This window comes from Homo sapiens, chromosome 6, assembly GCF_000001405.40.
Source record: "Homo sapiens chromosome 6, GRCh38.p14 Primary Assembly".
In the NCBI taxonomy this organism is placed as follows: domain Eukaryota; kingdom Metazoa; phylum Chordata; class Mammalia; order Primates; family Hominidae; genus Homo; species Homo sapiens.
The window spans coordinates 92,628,672-92,653,967 of NC_000006.12; the positions used below are offsets into that span (position 1 = coordinate 92,628,672).

General features: G+C 34.9%; 1 protein-coding gene and 1 long non-coding RNA gene across 2 annotated transcripts in view; both read right to left on the reverse strand.

The window, feature by feature from the left end:
• LINC02531 (long intergenic non-protein coding RNA 2531) overlaps positions 1–25,296 on the reverse strand; it is a 138,833-nt gene that overhangs the window by 43,678 nt on the left and 69,859 nt on the right. Inside the window, exon 2 of the long non-coding RNA NR_189297.1 lies at positions 4,835–4,927. This is a non-coding gene — a long non-coding RNA (long intergenic non-protein coding RNA 2531). The remainder of the gene's footprint in view (positions 1–4,834; positions 4,928–25,296) is intronic.
• On the reverse strand, positions 15,587–16,503 carry LOC124901495 (putative protein PRAC2). The gene has a single exon (XM_047419663.1). The coding sequence runs from the start codon at positions 16,132–16,134 to the stop codon at positions 15,802–15,804; it is 333 nt and encodes a 110-aa protein (XP_047275619.1). The 5' UTR covers positions 16,135–16,503; the 3' UTR covers positions 15,587–15,801.

Consider the following 25,296-nt stretch of genomic DNA (forward strand, 5'->3'; position numbering starts at 1 on the left):
AAGCATTCTTATACACCAATAACAGACAATCAGAGAGCCAAATCATGAGTGAACTCCCATTCACAATTGCTTCAAAGAGAATAAAATACCTAGGAATCCAACTTACAAGGGATGTGAAGGACCTCTTCAAGGAGAACTACAAACCACTGCTCAACGAAATAAAAGAGGACACAAACAAATGTATCTCAACTTTTAATTGTATTGACAATATATTTGACAGCAGAAATTCTTAATTTTTATGAAGTACACTTTAATGATTTTTTCTTATCGATTGTGCCTTTGATGTTGCATCTAAAATATCAGCACTAAACCCAAGATCATCTAGATTTTCTTCTATATTATCTTCTAGAAGTTTTATAGTTCATATTTTATTTTATTTATTTTTATACTTTTGAGACTGAGTTTTGTTCTGTCACCCAGGCTGTAGTGCAATGGCGTGATCTCAACTCACTACATCCTCTGCCTCCCCGTTTCAAGTGATTCTCCTGCCTCAGCCTCCCAAGTAGCTGGGATTACAGGTGTGTACCACCACACCCAGCTAATTTTTGTATTTTTAGTAGAGATGAGGTTTCACCATATTGCCCAGGCTGGTTTTGAGCTCCTGACCTCAGGTGAGTCACCCACCTCAGCCTCCCAAAATGCTGGGGTTACAGGCATAAGCCACCATGCCCAGCCTAATTTTGTATTTTACATTTAGGTCTGTGATCCATTTTGAGTTAGTTTTAGTGAAGAATGCAAGGTCTGTTCCTAGATTCTTTTTTTTTTAGGGGGGGGAGCATGTTGTTCCAATGCCATTTGTTAAAAAGAATACCTTTTCTTCACTGCATTGCCTTTGCTCTTTTGTCAAATATTAGTTGATTGTATTTATGTGGGTTTATTCCTGGTCTCTCTCTTTCGTTCCATTGCTTTATTTGTATGGTCTTTTGCCAACACTATACTGTGTAAATATAGTAAGGCACAAGGTCAGGTAGTTTTACTCTCTGACTTTATCATTATTGAGTTTGCTATTCTGGGCCTTTCGTTTGCTATCAAATAGGTTTATTGCTATCCACAAAATAAAATACTAGGATTTTGATTGCAGTTACATTGAATCTATAGATCAAGTTGAGAAGAACTGACATCTTGGCAATATTCAAATTCTGATGAACATGGCATACCTCTCCATTTATCTAATTTTTTTTATCACTTTCATCATAAATTTCTAGTTTTCTTCATTAAGCTCTTATATATATATATTTTGTTATATTTACACCAAATGTAAATGATAACGTGTTTGTAATTTAAAATTCCACTTGTTCATTGTTGCTATATAAGAAATTGACTTTTATACACCAACCTTGTATCTTGCAACCTTGTCATAATTGTTTTTTAGCATCAGGTTTTTGCGTTTGGGTCAATTAGTTCAGATTTTCTACAGAGATGTTCATATTATCTGCTAGCAAAGCCTTATTTCTTGTTTCTCAATCAGTATACATTTTTATTTCCTTTTCTTATTGCATAAGCTAGGATTTTCAGTAAAATGTTAAAAAGGAGTGGTGAGTGGGAACATTTTTTTCTCATACCTGATCTTAGTGAGAAATCTTGTAGGTTCTCACCATTAAGCATGATGTTAGCTGTTAGGTATTTTTGTAGATATTCCTTATTAAATTGAAAAAGTTCCCTTCTATTCCTAGCTTCCTGACAGTTTTAATCATAAAGGGTATTGAATTTTGTCAAATATTTTTTCTTCATGTGTTAATATGATAATGTGATTTTTCTTTAGCCTACTGATATGATATAAATTAAATATATTAATTGATTTTTAAAATGTTAAGCCAAACTTGCATACCTGGGATAGATAAATCCTACTTAATATGTTATTCTTTTAATATATAGTTGGATTTGATTTGATAATACTTTGTTGAGGATGTTTTATGTTAATAAAATAAATTAGTATGTAGTTTTCTGGTAATATCTTTGTCTGGTTTTGGTAGGAGGGTGACATTAGCCTCATAGAATGAGTTAGGAAGTATTCCCTCTGCTTCTATTTTCTGAAAGAGATTGTAGAGTATTGGTATAATTTCTTGCTTAAATATTGGTAGACTTCACCAGTAAACCCATTTAAATCTGGTGCTTTCTGTTCTTAAAGGTTATTTATTATTGATTTGTTTTCTTTTGTAGATATAGGCCTATTTAGATTGTCTATTCTTGTATGAGTTTTGCCAAACTGTGTCTTTCAAAGAATCTGGCCATTTCATCTAGGTTATTAAATTTACAAGCATAGTATTTTTCATAATGTTCCTTTATTAATTTATAACATTTATTAGACCTGTAATAATGTTCCCTCCTTCATTTCTGATATTAATAATTTGTATCCTCCCTCTTTTTTTCTTAGTCTAGCTAGAGGCTAGTTGATTTTATAGTTTTTTCAAGAATAAACTTTTGGTTTCATTGATTTTTCTGTATTAATTTTATTTGTTACTTCATTGATTTCTGCTGTAATACTTTTTATTTCAATACTTCATTTCTTCTCCTTTATAACTAATAAGAAAAAAATTGATAATAAAACAAGAAGAAATTGGCAAATCCACACTCATAGTGGAAGATTTCATACACTTCTCTCAAAAACCAACTAAACCAATGGAACTAACCCTAAAATAAGGATCTAGGAGAGTTGAACAACAAAACAACAGCAATATAGAATTATGCCTCCAAAAAAGGGAAAGCATATGTTATATCTACATAAGAGAAACCATATATTATATATACAAAATGCTTATCATCATTTTTTGCCCTAATGGACATATTAACAAATACCAAATGACAACAACAAAGAAAACAGGCCAAACACATTCAACATAATGGAAAACAATGGAAATCAACAACATAAATTGAGCTGAAATTCAAACCAAATCATACTTCCTGTACTCATTTCCCAGGGCTTCTATAACAAATTACCACAAACTAGGTGACTTCACAAAACAGAAATTTATTCTCTTACTATTCTAGAGCCTAGAAGTTTAAAATCAAGCTTTCTGCAATGCTGTGTTCCTTCTGAAGATGAGGGAAGAACTTTCTTCTTCTGTTTCTGGTAGCTCTAGGCATTCCATGGCTTGTGGTAGGATAACTCCAACCTCCGCTTCTGCTTTCACATAGCCTTTTCCTCTTCTCGCTTCATTTCTCCTCTCTGTGTCTCTTAAAAGGAATCTTGACATTGTATTTAGGGCTTATCCAGATAATACAGTATGATTTACCTTAAGATCTTTAATTTTATTTGCAAAGATCCTTTTTCAAAAAAATATCACATTCACAGTTTCTAAGAATTAGGACATGGACATATCTTTTTGGGTGCCACCACTGAAATCACCATGTTCTCATTACCAGCACCTTCCTTTTATTTTGTCTTTTAAAAGCCCCATCCACATTCATTTGGTGAATGCAAATGAGCAGAATAAGCTCCAGCATACAAAGATAAGCTTCAATAATATGTCACCTCTCACATCTAGCCAACTACCTTAACAGATTGTCAGTCTTGTTCATAGTCACTCAATGCATAGGCCTCAATTATTGTACAATCTGTGGCCCAAGTGATTCAGAAATATTGTCTGCCTCTCATTTCCACAAAAAAGTGGTAACTTTAGCCCATGAGCTATGAACAAAATGAAAGTTGCCATTTAGGCTAGCCATTAGAAAACACTGCATTATATCTTTTCACCAGATTACCCAGGTGGAATTTTCAAGGAAAACTTGGAAATTAGTTTAAGTCCAACTCTCATTTTCAGAAAAAAAAAAAAATCCAGTCATTTATTTCAGAATTGCCCATCACTCATGCAGAAATCAGAGAGGATTAGCTAAGCATTATTTTCTTCTCCTAAAATGCCCTTGAAAAAAATAATTATATCCTTTTTTTTTTTTTTTGCACAGTAACCTAGTTCCTGATTTCTTTCCTTTTGACAACCACTTCTCCCTTTCTTCACTTCTCCCTGGTTTAAACCATACTCTCCCATGGCAAGATTTGTTTTTGTAATACATAAAGTAATAGGGCAACCCCATTTGCTGCAAACCCTCAGCTTAACCACTGTTGGGTCCTCTACCTTGCACAGAAATGTGTTAGAAGATTTAAAGTTATACCAATAGCGTCTTTTGCTGAAACATCCCCTTCAGCCAGGACCTAAGAATTCAACCCAAACTCTGGTAGCACAGGATTTGGTAACACAAAAGAAACATTTTAAGAAATAAGAAAGTCAAAGAGTTGTGTTATAGCATTAATCCCACCCTCTGTTTCCCACCCTAAGAAACTTTCCAAGGAGACCCCCTCCCACTTTTTTCATTTTCACATATTTATCAGATTGTGCAAGCCAACACATTTCTCTTTCTCCATATTTTTGGCATTAAATATCTTAACTTCACATTTAAAGTTTCTATAAACCCACCACTCTGAGGTGATAAGCAATGTGATACTTACAAGCAATGTTGCCTCTTCTTAGACCATCCCTGAGTATTAGTCACTTGTGAAATGGGTGTCTTAATCCAAGTAAGTAAAAATGAATGCTCCAGAGTGAAATGCCACGTTTTTCCAATCTAATCCTTTAATAATATTTTATCTCCATCAATTTTCTATTTTTCTATTTCTCAATCTACTTATTTAAAATTTGAATTTTCCTTGTTGTAGCAGTAGAAACATCACATTGAAATAACATTGAAGACGGACTTATTTATTCTGGAAATATCTTTAATGTGCCTTTTCAGTTCTGTAGATATAAAACAATGTCAAAGATATTCTGAAAGAGAAAGCATATCAAGACATTCCTTGCCTTTGAAAAACCATGGGAAGGCCAGGCACAGTGACTCATACCTGGAATCCCAGCACTTTGGGAAGTCAAGGCAGGAGAATTGTTTCATCTCAGGAGTTCAAGAACAGCTTGGGCAACATAGGGAGATCTCAGCTCTACTTTAAAAAAAAAAAAGAAAGAAAGAAAAAGAAAAGGCATAGGATTACTTATGGTAGTGAAAAAAATGAGACAAATCCCTTTTCCTCTACATCTCTGTGTATATGCACCTTTATCTGGGATTACTTTCAAATGATATGGTTGAGGCCTGTTCCCTTTGAGGTTCAATGCTTTAGAACATTTCTAAGGGAAGATAGCGAAACAGGACAAAAGCTCTCTCCACTTCCCCAAAGAAACTTATTATAAGAAAGAAATAAATCTGTCTGGTCCTCTGGATGCAGTTCTAGGTTATGGTCTTCTATAGATGACAGCTTCTTACAAGGACTCTAGATCCCTTTGGAACTTATTACAACTAACTTATGCTGTATAACTATTAGGGTAAATGACTGTGTATTCATTGTGTATAGGGCAAAGGAGCCGAGTCTACCTTGTTGTGTGACATGACTGGGTTTCATTTTGTATGTATGTGTTTGTGTGCCATGAAGCTAAAGGATTGTACAACCCATGTTTTTGTGTTATAATCAATAAATGAGCAAAAGGAGAGAAGACTTGCCTGCAGACAGGAAGTGCTGAAAACTTGTTCAAGAGAAATTTGAATAGATTGAATGAAGACAAATTATGCAGAACCAAGGGAAGAGAAGAGAAAGTTTCAGATTGATGAGGCAGCAACTGAAGGCAGCAAAGTTTGTTAAAGTGTATAATACACCATTAAGGTGTGTTTAGGAAAGATTGTCTTTGGTGCGACACAAAGATTCTTGAGAAAAGAAGATAAATTACTTAATTTCTGTGCACCTTAACGTTCTTATCTGTAAAATATGGTGAGTAATAATAGCCACCACATTCATAAGGTTTTGGTGAGAAATAAGTGAATTAATATATTTAGATCACATAGTAAAGTGTTCAATAATGTTATCAGTACCACCCACAACCATCTGCACCATCCTAACCAAAACCATAATTTTTTGGCTTTCCAAAAAAGTACGTGGTAAAATAAAAGATGCCTAAAACAAAGAAATAGATGTTTATTTCTAACATCTATTTTTATGCTTTTTAACATGTTTTTGCTCCTTAAAATTTTTTTTTAACATGTTTATGCTCCTTAAAATTTTTCATAGGTGATGCTGCCAATTTTTATATCGTGGCTGGAGCAGGAGGTGTTAGACAGGACAGCATGGTGATGTGAGCTGCAATTTGTTTGAAACAGATGAATTTTCACATAGACCTATGTTCACATGTATGCATGGAAATACAGTCTGAAATTAAATTATATTTAATTACCTATCGTAAGGCATGTTATTCATACCTCTTTTCTCTGACAATGTCCTAGAGATTTATTTTTTTTCCTTTAAAATGTAAAGGTGTCTGAAAATACATCTAAGTCACTATTAATAGATCATTTTAATTCTTATTTCCTCCTATGATTTTGCATTCACATAACATATCACTTAACTGAGATACAAAAAAGTTGGGAATTAATCTTAAAATAAAAAATGAATGAACCTGGAGTTTTCATTGTGCTAAATCTAAATAATATTCAGATACTCAGATGGACATCTTGTGTGTGTGTGTGTGTTTGTATCTGTGTGTCTGTGTGTGTGTATACAATGCTCTTCTTTCCTTAAATTATAACACTAATGTTACTTTTCCATAAAATACTTCATATGTAAAGAAATACTTAAAATTATTCTATGTTATTTGTTTTTGTAGCAGAAGTTATGGAGATTTTCCTTTTTTTCTACATATTCATTTACTTACAGTAATAAAATGTCTCTCCCTCAATTTTATCCAAATTATTTATTTAAAAATTAATATATTTTGCTTTTGTAATTGGTTAGTGTAAATTAACAGAAATTCAAAAACATTAGTATATTTCCATATTCTTCATTATTATTAACCGCACAGCATAAATATAATGGAATAATGCATTTTTAGGAGCACAGAAATTAGCCCTACCAGCCAATACCATTCTTCAGTCAAGCTCAACAGACCTTATTACCTAGATTTGTCTCTGTACCTTGAGGCATATTATAAGCCACATGAGCAGATGATTGAATAGGAAAAAAAAATCTCCATTAAGAAAAAAATTGAGATTTTTGATTCGACTGCCTGTCCATTAGTGACATAAAGTGCTGACAAGCAGAACAAACAGTGAGCAATGTAATGTCAAGGCCTCCAGTGAAATGAAGTTTCATAACTTCACTAGAGTTGATGGATGGGTAATAATGACATTTTCAAGTGTAAGAATATACTCTATTAGGAACATCATATAATTTTTCTGCACAAAGTAGTTGTTACAGCTTGGTTGCTCAGGGAAGATGACTCTATAGAGCAAGAAAACAGTCATGCGCTTATAAATATTTAATCAGGTTAATATTCTGGTGTTCTTTACCATGCCAAAGAACGTCACTTATTTAAAGCATAATAGTTTAGAATAGAATTGTCTTAGACAGTGAAAAGATGATAGAGAATTCTACAATATCAAATACTCAAATATTTGACATTAACAACATTGTAAATCTGACATGAACAATTTAGCAATTTACAGGGAAACTTTGCAAAAATGCATTACTGAGGGTGTTATCTGAATAGTAAATAATGCTTTATGGCTTTGTAAAATGCAATCTACCTTACTCTTTATAGATTATATCAAATATATAAATACCATCTTTCAACCAGTCAGTTGAGAAGGAACTGTATATTGCTAATGTATGTCTTATCCAAAACAGAAGAACAAAGAAACAAACAGGTTATAGTAACACGAAGAAAAAATTGCATGATTTTACCAGCTATATGTTCGTGTTTACACCATTTAGGCTTCAAGGATAAATCAGGGAATCTTGTTCTTTTAGAAAGCAAGGAAGTCTTGCTGCATCGAAACTCACCTCAGGGTACACAGAATCACAATTTTTAAAAACTATTCCTAAAAAGCATAGAATATCTATGTTTGAATGTTACATGGCTATTCAGAACTTTCTGGAATTATAATTTTCAGTAAGCAGATAGATATTTCAATAATATCTGCATTAAAAAACCATTCAATTGGGAATTTTCATTACAGTTTTAATGACACTGTTCAGGGCAAGAATTTTATGAATAAGATCTGAAAACGAAAGCAAAAATAGACAAATGGGATGACATCAAACTAAAAAGCAGTGTGCAGAAAAAAAAAGAATCAACAGAGAGAAGAGACAACCTACAGAAAAGGAGCAAATATTCTCAAACTATGCATTTGACAAGAGGTTATATTAATGCAATAATATCCAGAATATATAAGCAACTTAACTCAATAGCAAAATAATAACACAAATAATAATCTAATTAAAATGGATTATCTAGGTGCATAAGATCTGAATAGATAGTTCTCAAAAGAAGATACACAAATGGCCAACAGGTACATGGAAAAATATTTGACATCACTAATCATCAGAGAAATGCAAAACAAAACCACAATTAAATATCACCTCACTCCAGATAAAGTGGCTACTACTAAAAAGACAAAAAATAACAAATACTGATGAGGATATGAAGAAAGGAAAACTCTTATACACTGTTGACTGGAATGTAAATTAATACAGCCATTATGGACAACAATATGGAGATTTGTCAATAAATTAAAAATAGAACTACCTTATGATCCAACAATTCCATTACTGGATACATATCCAAAATAAATGAAATCAGTAAGTCGAAGAGATATCTGCACTCCCACGTTTACTGCAGTACTATTCACAATAGCCAAGATGTGGAATCAACCTTTGTGTCCATCAATGGATAAATAGATTAAAAATGTACCATAAAAAAGAACAAAATATTTCCATTTGCAACAAGATGAATGAACCTAGAGCAGTGGTCTCCAACATTTTTGGCACCAAGTACCAGTTTTGTGAAAGACAATTTTTCCATGAGGTCGGGGAGCGGGGCGGACAGTTTCATGATGAAGCTGTTCTACCTCAGATTATCAGGCATTAGTTACATTCTCATAAGGAGTACACAACCTAGATCCCTCACATGTGCAGTTCACAATAGTGTTCCTGCTCCTATGAGAACCTAATGCCTCTGCTGATCTGACATGAGGCGGAGCTCAGGAGGTAATGTTCCCTTGCCCTCTGTTCATCTCCTGCTGTGTGGCCCCTAACAGACCACAACCAGTAGCAGTCTGCGTCCCAGCAGTTGGGGTACCCCTGACCTAGAGGACATTACGTTAAATGAAATAAGCTAAACACAGAAGGACAAAAAACAACATGTCTCCCTCATATGTAAAAAAGTTGATCTCATAGAAGTAAAGAGTAGAATAGTTGTTACCAGAGGCTAGGAAGAGTAGGGAGAAGAGAAGGATGTGGAGAGATTGGTACAAAGTTACAGTCAGATAGAACAGAAAACTCTGGTATTCTCTTGCACTGTAGGGTGACTATAGTCAATTATAATGTTCAGTATACTTTTAAAAAGCTAGAAGGGAGGATTTTGAATGTTTTCACCACAAAGAAATGACAAATGTTTAAGATGATAAATATGCTAATTATCCTGATTGGATCATTATGCAATGTATATATGTATCAAAACGTCACAGTGTACCTCATAAATATGTACAACTGTATGTCAATTAAAAACAAAATAAAACTTTTTAAAAAGTTAAGTGAAACTCTCAGAAAACATTAGGTAACATGCTATGTATTTTAGAAGCTATATAACTCAGTTAAGTCTTACTGCCGCAAAATAGCATTTTTATAATTTATAAACTTTTATCTTCTAAAAAATGTTTTATTTAACCTTAAAATTGAAAGAATATTTTTGTGGATGTTTTTCTAGAGTTGAGGTTGCTCAATCACTCCTTTAGTCTTAAGCTAAGGAAAAATAAAGGTCATTCAAAGATTTTAAATTACTTTTTCCTTCCTTCTTTCTTTCTTTCCTATTTCCCTATTCGCTTTCTTTATTTTTTCTTTCATCTTTGATTACTGCTTTCTATCATAGGTACAACATTCATTAAATAATGCCCTCATTACATTTGAAATGAGGGAGAAAAAGCTATCAATGATACCTTTGAGTTTTACATGCATTATTCTATTCTGTATTTACAAATGGTAGCTTCATATTAAGGTTTGGGATCTTCTGTAATTTAAATGTTCATTATATACTGATCCAATAATTTTGTATAACCCTTGTATCTATTTTTCTCTATTACAGAGCATGCCAACAATGAAGGATTTCTCAGCGTGAACAATATTCTCAGGAGGAATTCAGGGCTGGAATTGCCAGGAGTGTTGCAGGCAAAGCTTTCATTGAGAGGGAAATGAAGCCAAAGCTCCATTGCCTAAGTAAATTAATTGATTTAGGATATGAGAAAGAAAAGAAAGGGAAAATTCTGTTAATACCGACTATTTAACTCCATCTGGAAGAGATGGTTTGAGGCAGCAAGTGTTTGAGAGTTTCCATCATAGGTGTTCTTCTCGTTCTTATCTCTACCCAGAGTGATTAGTGTTAACTGCTCTGGGGTATGCAACTGGTTTCTCCCTGCTCAGGCCATCACGTATGTTTACAATTTTTGTTGCTGAAACATCAAACTCTGTTCCTTAGCAGGCCCCCTGGACTAACTTCTTAGTGATATCTGTAGCACTTCTGTAGAAATAGCAAATTGAATCTAGAGTTAATTTTTGAAATGATATGAAAATAAAAAGTTCACCTTGGAGAAATCTATCTTCTAAAAATCTACTGGTATTGACTACATGTCTGTTGATGTCTCTTTCACTATCAGCTGTTTTCCTATGTCAACTATAAAATACCTTTAAACGCTTTAAGAGCTATTCAGCAGTTGAAATTGCAGGACATTACATGACACTTGTGAAAAATCTCTATTTTGTGAAAAGTTAGGTGTAAAATATAATCTTCCAGAACTGTTTGATAGATATCTCTGTACATATATGCGCATAAGACTTTGAAATTCCTCATTCAAATATTCAGTTCATTATGAGAAAAAAAAGTTAATCATTTTTCTACATGAGAGCATGATGAGATGTATGTAGATACAATTCTGTATTTATCAAAACAAAATATCATATCGGTCTAAACTCTAAGTTGCATTTAAAGAGAGTAAATTCAAACCTTCTCAAAGGGAAAACGGAAAATAACAGCTCACATGATTCAAAAGTCCAGGGGTATGTATCTGGCTCAGCTCACTAAAGGTGCTCATTGGATATCTCTCTCTCATGCTTTCTTTTTGAAATGTCTTCCAGGACTTACAGAGTTTTCTTTGTTCGGTGTTTTATAGTAAGTTATAATTGTTTACTATACAGATGCTAAAGTTTTCATGTTTTCTTATATAAAAACATTCCTATGGCTTAAAAGTAAAAAAAATATGAAAAGTACTCAGAGAACTCTCACTTGCACCACTGTATTCTTCTACGAGTTCCAATCTATCGTCCCCTTTCATCACCATGTTGACTGGTATTATCCACTTCCTTCAGATTTTCAGATTAATTTGCATAAAATGGCATAAAGTAGACTTTTGGAATTTTTTTAGTTTCTGTATTTCAAATGTTATTATCTCCTTTTCTCATTGCTTGCTTTCGTTCCTCTTTTTTGACTAGTGTAAATAGTAAGTGTCTCACTGATTTTTTTCAAAGAGCCAGCCTTTGTATTTATGCATTTTTTCTGTTTCTATATTTTCAAATTCTTGACTCAGATTTTTAATTCTTATGTATGCCTACTTCGTTCACTTTGTCCTTTTTCTTTTTTTATTATACTTTAAGTTCTACGGTACATGTGCACAACATGCAGGTTTGTTATATATGGTACATGTGCCATGTTGGTGTGCTGCACCCATTAACTCCTCATTTACATTAGGTATATCTCCTAATGCTATCCCTCCCCACTCCCAATAAATGGTGCTGGGAAAACTGGCTAGCCATACGTAGAAAGCTGAAACTGGATCCCCTCCTTACATGTTATACAAAAATTAATTCAAGAAGGATTAAAGACTTAAGTGTTAGACCTAAAACCATAAAAACCCTAGAAGAAAACCTAGGCAATACCATTCAGGACATAAGCATGGAGAAGGACTTCATGTCTAAAACACCAAAAGCAATGGCAACAAAAGCCAAAAGAGACAAATGGGATCTAATTAAACTAAAGAGCTTCTGCACAGCAAAAGAAACTACCATCAGAATGAATAGGCAACCTACAGAATGGGAGAAAATTTTTACAACCTACCCATCTGACAAAGGGCAAATATCCAGAATCTACAAAGAACTCAAACAAATTTACAAGAAAAAATCAAACAACCCCATCAAAATGTGGGCAAAGGATATGAACGGACACTTCTCAAAAGAAGACATTTATGCAGCCAACAGACACATGAAAAAATGCTCATCATCACTGGCCATCAGAGAAATGCAAATCAAAACCACAATGAGATACCATCTCACACCAGTTAGAATGGCAATCATTAAAAAGTCAGGAAACAACAGGTGCTGGAGAGGATGTGGAGAAATAGGAACACTTTTACACTGTTGGTGGGACTGTAAACTACTTCAAGCATTGTGGAAGACAGTGTGATGATTCCTCAAGGATCTAGAACTAGAAATACCATTTGACCCAGCCATCCCATTACTGGGTATATACCCAAAGGATTATAAATCATGCTGCTATAGACACATGCACATGTTATGTTTATTGCAGCACTGTTCACAATAGCAAAGACTTGGAACCAACCCAAATGTCCATCAATGACAGACTGGATTAAGAAAATGTGGCACATACACACATGGAGTACTATGCAGCCATAAAAAGGATGAGTTCATGTCCTTTGTAGGGACATGGAGGACGCTTTGTCCTTTTTCTAACTTTTTGAATTGTATGTTTAATATGTCTATTTTGGGTCTTTTTCATCTTTATTAATATAATTACATAAACTTACTGATTTTTCTATGATCATTGCTCTAGATACTGCATAGATTTTGATATATAAGAAGGGCATGATAATTATGTTCTAGAAATTTTGTAAGCTAAGTTTGTACTTCTCCTTTGAACCAAAAATGTTTAATGGAAAACTGTTTTTTAACTAACAGATGTAAGTATCTTTTTTATCTTGTTATTAATTTCTAGTTTTATTACATTACAATTAGACGGTTTTTGTATAATTTCCATATTACAGACCTTATTGAAGTTCTCTTTATTTCGTGGGAGGCACATAGGAAATTAAATAGAATATATTTTTACAATATTTCGTGAGAACTTGAATGCAGTGTACCTATTATCTTTCTGTTGCGGAGCAATGTATGCATGTGTCTTCATAAAAAATCTGCCTTACTATGTTACTTAGGTCTTTTGAGTGCTCAATTACTTTTATATACCCGTTGTATCTTCTAAGATTGACAGTTATTTCAAAGTCCTATCTTATTTGTTTCTGTTTTTCCTAGCATCTCCATTGGTTTCAATGTTATCAAGATGGCCACTGTGTGAATATATTTATAAATCTTAATTTTTCATTGTGAAATGTAGCCCTTTGTGCATTATAAAGAATTCTTCACCTTATGTAACGTTCTTTATGTTGAATTCATTCTGACAGATACCAAGATCACAAGCCCTGGTTACATTTTGTCTCATTTTCAGGTGACCTTGGCTCATTTCTTCATTTTCAGCCTTTGAAATCACTTTTTAAATACATAATTGTATAAAGCATACAACTGAATTTGGATTTGACCCAATTTGAAGGCTTTTCTTTAGTAGGTTTGTTAGGCCAATTATATGTATTATATAATGCATCTGCTTGTCCTCAAGTTTTGTTATCTTTTGTTTTATCATGTGATATTTATTGTGGCTCTTTCACTTTTTTTTTGTAGTTTGTTTTTGCTTAATGTTTGTTTTAATTTTGCTGTAAATGCATTTAGTTTTGTTTTAATTTCTTCTGGTAATTATGAACGTTACTATTTTTATTTTAGTAGCTATTTTTATTCTAGTGTCCTTATAGAATGCTTTTTTCTTTACCTCTCTTCTTTACTTAGACCTCTATATGTTTTCTCAACTTTAAAGTACGTACTTTAATTTCCATCATCTTTTATCCCAAAGACAATAAAATATCTAATGCTTTTTTCACTTTTGTCTCTTTCTTCTTTTCCGATGTTTTTAGTTGCAATATTTCTATTTTGTTAGCCTCTATAACAAATAACATATTCTCCCACGTGTATATCCACATGTGTTTTAGTCTTAGGTTCTCAATTCAACATTATTTAATACTTATCACCAACTCTTTTGCTGCAGTTCCCTTAACTGTATCTTGGTTGGAGGAGGGTCATTTCTTATTGTGCTACTAGCTCTGCATATTTTGACATTTTGTTTGGGATATTTGTTGGATGAAAATCATATTATCTATTTGCTTTTATTTTTCTACTTCCCAGTAGCCCCTACTCTACCACTGGGTCTCAAATTTGTTTCTAGTATTGCCATCTAGGATTGAATCTTCCCTTGGGGGTAAATCCAAATTAATATTATTTACATTATATTATTACTCAGATTCTGCTGCAGTCTTCTTCTGGTCAGTCCCTAAGAAGAAATGTTATTTTAAAGATTGTCTTTTTATTCTGTAAAATTCAGTCTTCCTTAACCTATAACACTCCTAACCTTAATATGAAAGTATCTGTTACAAAGACTTCCTTTTACCATAAAGTTTACAAAGATTTTAATTAACACAAGAAGAAAATAGAAAGCATTAAAACTGCGATCATTTAAATTCAAAGTTGTGTAAATATGGTTATTTTACAATATAAAATTTGATACTTTTAACAATAATTCATTTCCAAAGTACTCTCAGTGTTTCTGGCACCACCTGTTTACCTCAGGGAAGAAAAATCCACATTTTCTTTGTGTTTAAGTGGATACTACAATGATTTAAAGTGTGTCACAGGAGCCAGGCATGGTGGTAACAGCCTATAATCCTAGCTACTTGGGAGGCTGAGGTGGGAGAATTACTTAAACCAGGAGTTTGAGAACAGCCTGTGCAATATAGTGAGACCCTGTCTCTAAAAAAATAAAATAAAATAAAATAAAATGTGTGTCACAAAGACAACATTTTAATATCCCAATTTGTATTTACAAATGCTTTATGACCAAGTGTCTATTAAATAAATGTGAAGGGGAAAAAGCCAAAACTCAATAAAAATAACTCTGATGGTAGTTTCTTTTGCTGTGCAGAAGCTCTTTAGTTTAATTAGATCCCATTTGTCAATTTTGGCTTTTGCTGCCATTGCTTTTGGTGTTTTAGACATGAAATCCTTGCCCATGCTTATGTCCTGAATGGTAATGTCTAGGTTTTCCTCTAGGGTTTTTATGGTTTTAGGTCTAACGTTTAAGTCTTTAATCCATCTTGAATTAATTTTTGTATAAGGTGTAAGGAAGGGATCCAGTTTCAGCTTTCTACATATGGCTAGCCAGTTTTCCCAGCACCACTAATTAAATAGGGAATCCTTTCCCCATTGCTTGTTTTTCTCAGGTTTGTCAAAGATCAGATAGTTGTAGATATGCGGCGTTATTTCTGAGGGCTCTGTTCTGTTCCATTCATCTATATCTCTGTTTTGGTACCAGTACCATGCTGTTTTGGTTACTGTAGCCTTGTAGTATAGTTTGAAGTCAGGTAGCGTGATGCCTCCAGCTTTGTTCTTTTGGCTTAGGATTGACTTGGTGATGCAGGAAAAAGGCCACAAGAGGGGCTGCCATGGCCACTAACGGAGATGGCCCTGGTAGAGACCTTTGGGGGTCTGGGACCTCTGGAGTCCCCATGCTCTAACTCCCACACTCTGCTATCAGAAACTGAAACTTGAGGGTTTTCTCTGTTTTTCACTCGCAATAAATTCAGAGCAAACAAAAGATGTGGAATCTGAGAGATTTATTCCACTAGTGTGCTAGGACCATTAAAAAGACAAGGGCGCCCCCTTCCGGCAGAGGCTGACCACTCCAGCAGAAACTGCGGACAGGCTTTCATCCCCGGCAGAGCTACAGGCTTCCAGCAGCCTGGGGCCTCGTGGGTACTGAGCTGCGTGTGGGGGTCCAGGACCCGACGTCGCCTGCCATTCGGCCAGGGCATCGGCAGATGTATTGGTCCAGCCCCCGAGAGACCCAGGAAGAAGGCAAGGAGGTTCGGTACGAGCGATCTCGAATGGAAGAAGAAGGCAGTCCGTCTGCGGGAGCCAGGCCGCAGCGCCATCCACCTTCTGTCCATGTCTTCTTTAGTAATACATTTATCTTCCTCGCCATAACAATTCGCGGTGTGGACGACCCCCTCCCCCTCCACTTTTTTTCGGATTTACTTGTATGGAACCTGTGCAAAAAATATTTAATTTCGTTTTGTATTAAACCCTTCATTGGGAATCCCTTCCCAATTTTAGTCTCCCACCTATCCCCGGACGACTACATTGAAATCTCTCTTATTTGTGTTTAAATCACAACAAAATCTACAAACCTATATTCGCCTGCAGCTATTTACTTTTAAATAAGGGCTATGTTAAGCTACAGGAGGAAATGTTTTGCTTACCATTCGGACAAATGTGTGAACACAACTACAAAATGGGAGAAAATTTTTGCAACCTACTCATCTGACAAAGGGCTAATATCCAGAATCTACAATGAACTCAAACAAATTTACAGGAAAAAAAGAAACAACCCCATCAAAAAGTGGGCAAAGGACATGAACAGACACTTCTCAAAAGAAGACATTTATGCAGCCAAAAAACACATGAAAAAATGCTCACCATCACTGGCCATCAGAGAAATGTAAATCAAAACCACAATGAGATACCATCTCACACCAGTTAGAATGGCAATCATTAAAAAGTCAGCAATCAACAGGTGCTGGACAGGACGTGGAGAAATAGGAACACTTTTACACTGTTGGTGGGACTGTAAACTACTTCAAGCATTGTGGAAGTCAGTGTGGCAATTCCTCAGGCATCTAGAACTAGAAATACCATTTGACCCAGCCATCCAGTTACTGGGCATATACCCAAAGGACTATAAAACATGCTGCTATAAAGACACATGCACACATATGTTTATTGCAGCACTATTCACAATAGCAAAGACTTGGAACCAACCCAAATGTCCAAAAATGATAGACTGGATTAAGAAAATGTGGCACATATATACCATGGAATACTATGCAAACATAAAAAAGGATGAGTTCATGTCCTTTGTAGGGACATGGGTGAAGCTGGAAATCATCATTCTCAGTAAACTATCACAAGGACAAAAAACCAAACACCACATGTTCTCACTCACAGGTGGGAACTGAACAATGAGAACACATGAACACAGGAAGGGGAACATCACACTATGGGGACTGTTGTGGGGTGGGGGGAGGGAGGAGGGATAGCATTAGGAGATATACCTAATGCTAAATGACGAGTTAATGGGTGCAGCACACCAGCATGGCACATGTATACATATGTAACTAACCTGCACATTGTGCACATGTACCCTAAAATTAAAAGTATAATAATAAAAGAAAAAAAAAAGGAATGACCTCAAAAGAAAACTCAATATAAATATGAATCAGAATAATTTCAGTTCCTTAAGTTTTCAAGTTTTTGCTCAGTTTTCCTTGACACTCATTGAAAGGGTTACGCTTTGTGTCTCCATCTAAATCTTGAATTGTAATCCCCAGATGTTTAGGAAGAGACCTGGTCGGAGTGACTGGATAATGGCGGCAGTTTCTCCCATGCTGTTCTCGTGATAGTGAGTGAGTTCTTGAAAGACATAGAGTTTTCTGTTTGGCAAGTTCCTCCTTTGCTCACTTTTTCTTCCTTGCACCATGTGAGAAAGTCCAAGCTTGCTTCCCCTTCACCTTCCGCCATGATTGTAAGTTTCCTCAGGCTTTGGGTCAATTACTCTTCCCTTTAATAAATTACCCAGTCTTGGGTATTTCTTTATAGCAGTGTGAAAACAAACTGAAACATTCATTATTATTTTTGAGTACTTAAAAATAATGTTTACTAGGAAATCTCTAGATAGCAATAATGTTTTTGTAATCAGTGACGTGATGGAATGCTTTGTGATTCCTTTGAAATTTAGAAAAAACTAAAACCCATTTTTGTTCAAGTAGGCAGCTGAAACCACTTCTTGTGTCTTATAATTCATATTTCATTCTCTAACATGGATATTAAGAATATAGACATGTGTTAAGGAATGTGTTTTCTCTTTGGAAGTGTGAAGTGGGGAGAAAACAATCTGCAACCCAGTGGTAGACATCAATTTGCCTCAGATTTCTTTGGAATCAGAAAAGGTAAATTGAATAAAAGCATGCATTATGTAAGTAAGTACAAAGTTGTCTATGTATATACGCACATAATAGCAAATAATATGAGACCTAGAAGTATTGCTGGAAATAATGATTTTAGAATAAATTCTTTTACATTATTTTTGAAAAGTAGTTTTATAAGCTAAATTTTCCTTCAACATTTTTCTTCCTAAAATTGTAGTTATTATTTTAAAAATATAGTCTTTGTACTTTGGGAGGCCAAGGCAGGTGGATCACGAGGTCAAGAGATGGAGATCATACTGGCTAACACGGTGAAACCCCGTCTCTACTAAAAATACAAAAAAATTAGCTGGGCATGGTGACGCACGCCTGTATTACCAGCTACTCAGGAGGCTGAGGCAGGAGAATTGCTTGAACCCACGAGGCGGAGGTTGCAGTGAGCCAAGATCGCATCACTGCACTCCAGCCTCGGTGACAGAGCCAGACTCCGTCTCAAAAAAAAAAAAAAAAAGAAAAAAAGAAAAAAATTACATACATAGTCTTTGTAATAGCTAACAGATATTAAGATAAATTAATTATACCAATGAACACAACAAGATTACTTCAGCAGCACAGAAGAATGATGACTTACTAGAAAAATGTCTGTTTCATTTCATATGCAGGGATTATTTTCCAGGGTCAGAAAACCATGTAAGCAAAATGTTTACAAAGGTCTTTTCAATATCATTGTCTCTTCTGTACTCTCTCCCCTTCAAACCTAACAAATGAAACATGCAACATAAATATAGTTCTAGGAAATATACATATGTCTAATTTTTGTTTTAACTTTGTAAAAGTAATGGCCAGAAGATCAAATCCTGATAACCAAGTTAATGATGTATCGTAGTACAGGTAATGTCGTTCTAAGAACATGCTGCATGCAGAAGTGTGACTCATGAACCAAGCACTTGACTTTGATCTTTAATCAACCTCTGCCATGCTGCAAGGCCGTAGGTCCACTGCCAACTCCTCCATATCTCAGTTACATCACCTCGTTTTTGTAATAATAAATTCCTTGGATATTTCTATATATCGTGGTAAATTTCAAGTGGAATGGCTGTTCTGAAAGCAATTTAAAAATTTAAGGCACTCCACAGATACTCAATCATGTTTGTAGAGTCCTTTGTTTTCTTATGCAGTAGGAACTAATAGATAATATTATTCAACCCCAGGGTGTCTTTATAGATTTTGTTCCCTCAGTTCTTAGATACAAAGAAATACTTGAAATAATGTTCACCTCAAATTAATAATAGTTATCCCTGGATAGTGGAATTGTAGATTTCTTTTTGTTCTTTCCTTCGTATTTACTGTACAGTTAGTATTTTTCATGAAGCATAAATTACTTTCACATATAATTACTTTTTTCTGACATTAAACTTGAGCACAATTAAAATACAAAGAAAAAAATACATATTGTAGTATCTATGAGAAATTTTAATCACTATAAAATACTTCTCTATATCAAAAAGTTGAATGTCCCAATGGACAATTCACGTGAAGGATATATGAATGATCATAATAAATATAAAATGTTGCTTTTCTATAATCAAATAAATGCAAACATGTAAAATTAGGTTTGTCATTGTAAAACTGTTGAAATCCAAAGTCAAAATGAAGATCTCAGGTTGGGGGCAGTGCACATTAACTGCAAATTAGTAACAACAGTAGGAGTGACAGCTGGCTTTTCAACATAAACAATGAAAGCCATAAATTAACAAGCTGATTCTAAAACTCACGGAAATGCAAAGAAGCAACAATTATAAAGGCAATTTTGAACATGGAGAAAAAAAACTGGAAGATTTATGCTCCCAGGTATTAAGACCAATTTTAAAGATCCATTAGTTAAGACAATGTGATACTCGTGCAAGGAGAGCAAAATAGGCTATTAAATAAAATTTATGGGATGCCATTGTTTTGGACTAAGCTCCTACACTAGGCTCCAGCAAAACAGATCTAATCAAAATGGAGTCACTTATTCTAAGGTTCCATGTCACCAAATTAAAACAAAGTTGTTTATCTGACCTTCTGAGAAATGGAAAGTGAAATGATATCCAAACACAGGAACAAGACAGTTTTATCTAGAGTGACGAGGAAGTCCCTTCTGCTTTAACCTTTACAAAGAAAGTAACCAGAAGTAGCCTGATGTTAACTAACCTATTTGTTTGTTTGTTTGTTTACACATTTTTCTGGTTCCCGCTCAAGCTACCTTATAAAAGCTAGCTCTTCTGCCGGATCTTTAATGGGATGATGCCTGATTCATGAATCACAATAAAAGCTAATTTAATCTTTAAACTCAATTTGTTATAATTTTATTTTTAAAAAAGTCTAATGAAAGAGATAAAACAGAAACAGATCCATGTTTACAATAACTTAAGTTTCTTATTTTATATTTAAAATGTGAGGCTGTAATGCAGTGGATAAAGGATGGAATACTCTATAAATTGCACTCGATCAATTTTATTCATTATAATATGTTGACTAAGACTCTCTCCTTTGACTAAAAAAAAGGACTCAGACTCCTTCAGCTTCTCTACTTGACTAGGACCATACTCAGTCTTGCCTCTCCAACCTTTTATAATTCATTTCGAGGAAGAATCCAGCTAAATCAGTTTAGTGAAAATCCACCCTTAGTATCTGACCACTCTATATATTATCACCTTGGCCTGCCTTAAGCAAGAATTCTGTTGAGTCAGTCTAGCAAGAATTACCCTTAAACCCGATGTTTCTTGTTAGTAAAATTTCCGTCACTTACCCCACCCTATTCCTTTGCTATACATCCCCACTTGTTCCTGCTGGAGTCAGAGTTGAGTCCAAACTCTCCCCTTCACCGACAGACCTAATTGCCTCACTGCTATGACCCTTACAGTTATCACCATACCACCCCAAACCCTTCAATAGAGTCCTACTTACTGCCTTTACCGAGTGTAATGAATAACTTTCCTATAACAATACTTTTATACTTCGAAAAACCTTTCTAGCCTACCCCACACAATACATAAAAATAAATCGCATATGGATTACATCTAATGTGAACAGTATAACAATAAAAAAAATAAAAATACCTTCACTAAAAGTAAGTAAAGATTTCTTAAGAAGGACATAATAGTACTAACAACAAAGAATAAAATAAGAATAGTTGTCTAAAGTTAAGGACTTTTTTCTATTTCTTAAATGACATCAGTAAGAAAATAAAGAGCAAGCAATAAACTAGAGCAGAGTATTTTCAATATATTTATCTAACATAGGATTCATGTCCAGGACATACACAACTTTCATATAAATCAATTTTTAAATGGCAGGCAATTCAGTACAGAAATGAGGAAAAAGACTTGGATAGATGCTTCATACAACAGAATATCCAAATAACCAATATACATATTAAAAAGAAGTTGAACTTTATTAGCTATAAGGACATCCACATTAAAACCATAATGAGATACCACTACATACTGACTGGGTTTGGGACATACTACCCCCATATCTGACATAGTAGAATCTGAGAAACCAGCAGAAGCAGGAAAGTCATTCTCACCTTCCATTGCCCTTCTTCCCTGCAACAGGTTAAAAAGCCTTCATTCCAGAGATACTCTCCCTATACCTGGAAAAAAAAAATCTTAAGCCTCAAAGGCACAAATGTATCAAAAACAATCTGAAGAAACAGCACTTTCTAAGTGTGCCCCAACCCCTGGTTTATCACTATTATTAGATCATATCCCCTTTGTGCAATCACACTTCCCCTCAATTATCCACTTTATCCAACTCAGCACAGAAGTACATAGACTTTGTCGTTTCTTAGAGTCTTCATTTCTGAAGGTTCCCCTGTCATGTAAAACTTATGTTAAGGAAATTTATACGCTTTTCTCTTGTTTATCTATCTTTCATTATAGGTACCTCAGCCAAGAACCTTGTGATGACTGAAGAAATATTTTCTTCCCACTATGATATCCACCAGAATGTCTACAATGAAAGCAACAGACAATACTAAGTGTTGGCAAGGATGTGGAACAAGTGAAATACTCATACACTATATGTAGAGCTTGGATAAACTGTTAGGCATTGTCTAGCTTACAGGAACATACATGTGCTCTATCACCCATCAATTTTACTGTGACATGTATACTAGCAGAATTATATACACATATTTACCAAGTGGCAAATATGGGAATATTCATAGTATCAAATTCGTAATAGCAAAATTTAGAAACAACATAAATATTCATTAATAGTAAAGTAGATAGATAAATTGTATTATTGGTATGCAGCACAATTCTTTTCTTACTTTTTTTTATTATTATACTTTAAGTTCTAGGGTACGTGTGCTCAATGTGCAGGTTTGTTACATATGTATACATGTGCCATGATGGTGTGCTGCACCCATTAACTCCTCATTTACATTAGATATATCTCCTAATGCTATCCCCCTCCCCCCACCCCACAACAGGCCCTGGTGTGTGATGTTCCCCATCCTGTGTCCATGTGTTCTCATTGTTCAATTCCCACCTATGAGTGAGAACGTGTGGTGTTTGGTTTTCTGTCCTTGCGATAGTTTGCTGAGAATGATGGTTTCCAGCTTCACCCATGTCCCTAAAAAGGGCATGAACTCATCCTTTTTAATGTTTGCATAGTATTCCATGGTGTATATGTGCCACATTTTCTTAATCCAGTCTATCATTGACGGACATTTGGGTTGGTTCCAGGTCTTTGCTATTATGAATAGTGCCACAATAAACATACGTGTGCATGTGTCTTTACAGCAGCATGATTTATAATCCTTGGGGTATATACCCAGTAATGGGATGGTTGGGTCAAATGGTATTTCTAGTTCTAGATCCTTGAGGAATCGCCACACTGTCTTCCACAATGGTTGAACTAGTTTACAGTCCCACCAACAGAGTAAAAGTGCTCCTGTTTCCCACATCCTCTCCACCACCTGTTGTTTCCTGACTTTTTAATGATCGCCATTCTAAATGGTATGAGATGGTATCTCATTGTGGTTTTGATTTGCATTTCTCTGATGGGCAGTAATGATGAGCATTTTTTCATGTGTCTGTTGGCTGCATAAATGTCTTCTTTTCAGAAGTGTCTGTTTATATCCTTCGCCCACTTTTTGATGGGGTTGTTTGATTTTTTCTTGTAAATTTGTTTAAGTTCTTTGTAGATTCTGGATATTAGCCCTTTGTCAGATGGGTAGATTGTAAAAATTTTCTCCCATTCTGTAGGTTGCCTCTTCACTCTGATGGTAGTTTCTTTTGCTGTGCAGCAGCTCTTTAGTTTAATTAGATCCCATTTGTCAATTTTGGCTTTTGTTGCCATTGCTTTTAGTGTTTTAGACATGAAGTCCTTGCCCATGCTTATGTCCTGAATGGTATTTCCTAGGTTTTCTTCTAGGGATTTTATGGATTTAGGTCTAACATTTAAGTCTTTAATCCATCTTGAATTAGTTTTGGTATAAGGTGTAAAGAAGGGATCCAGTTACAGCTTTCTACATATGGCTAGTCGGTTTTCCCAGCACCATTTGTTAAATAGGGAATCCTTTCCCCATTTCTTGCTTTTGTCAGGTTTGTCAAAGATCAGATGGTTGTAGATGTGTGGTATTATTTCTGAGGGCTCTGTTCTGTTCCGTTTGTCTATACCTCTGTTTTGGTACCAGTAACATGCTGTTTTGGTTACTGTAGCCTTGTAGTATAGTTGAAGTCAGGTAGCATGATGCCTCCCATTTTGTTCTTTTGGCTTAGGATTGACTTGGCAATGCGGGCTCTTTTTTGGTTCCATATGAACTTTAAAGTAGTTTTTTCCAATTCTGTGAAGAAAGTCATTGGTAGCTTGATGGGGATGGCATTGAATCTATAAATTACCTTGGGCAGTATGGCCATTTTCATAATATTGATTCTTCCTATCCATGAGCATGGAATGTTCTTCCATTTGTCTGTGTCTTTTATTTCATTGAGCAGTGGTTTGTAGTTCTCCTTGAAGAGGTCCTTCACATCCCTTGTAAGTTGGATTCCTAGGTATTCTATTCTCTTTGAAGCAATTGCAAAAGGGAGTTCACTCATGATTTGGCTCTCTGTTTGTCTGTTATTGGTGTATAGGAATGCTTGTGATTTTTGCACATTGATTTTGTATCCTCAGACTTTGCTAAAGTTGCTTATCAGCTTAAGGAGAATTTGGGCTGAGGTAGTGGGGTTTTCTAAATATACAATCATATCATCTGTAAACAGGGACAATTTGACTTCCTCTTTTCTTAATTGAATACCATTTATTTCTTTCTCCTGCCTGATTGCCCTGGCCAGAACTTCCATTATGTTGAATAGGAGTGGTGAGAGAGGGCATCCCTATCTTTTGCCAGTTTTCAAAGGGAATGCTTCCAGTTTTTGCCCATTCAGTATGATATTTGCTGTGGGTTTATCATAAATAGCGCTTATTATTTTGAGATATGTCCCATCAATACCAAATTTATTGAGAGTTTTTAGCATGAAGGGCTGTTGAATTTTGTTGAAGGACTTTTCTGCATCTATTGAAATAATCATGTGGTTTTTGTCTTTGGCTCTGTATATATGCTGGATTATATTTATAGATTTGGGTATGCTGAACCAGTCTTGCATCCCAGGGATGAAACCCACTTATCATGATGGATAAGCTTTTTGATGTGCTGCTGGATTTGGTTTGCCAGTATTTTATTGAGGATTTTTGCATCAATGTTCATCAGGGATATTGGTCTAAAATTCTCTTTTTTAGTTGTGTCTCTGCCAGGCTTTGGTATCAGGATGATGCTGGCCTCAGAAAACGAGTTAGGGAGGATTCTCTCTTTTTCTATTGATTGGAATATTTTCAGGAGGAATGGTACCAGCTCCTCTTTGTACCTCTGGTAGAATTTGGCTGTGAATCCGTCCGGTCCTGGACTTTTTTTAGTTGGTATGCTATTAATTATTACCTCAATTTCAAAGCCTGTTATTGGTCTATTCAGGGATTCAACTTCTTCCTGGTTTCATCTTGGGAGCATGTATGTGTCGAGGAATTTATCCATTTCTTCTAGATTTTCTAGTTTATTTGCATAGAGGTGTTTATAATATTCTCTGATGGTAGGTTGTA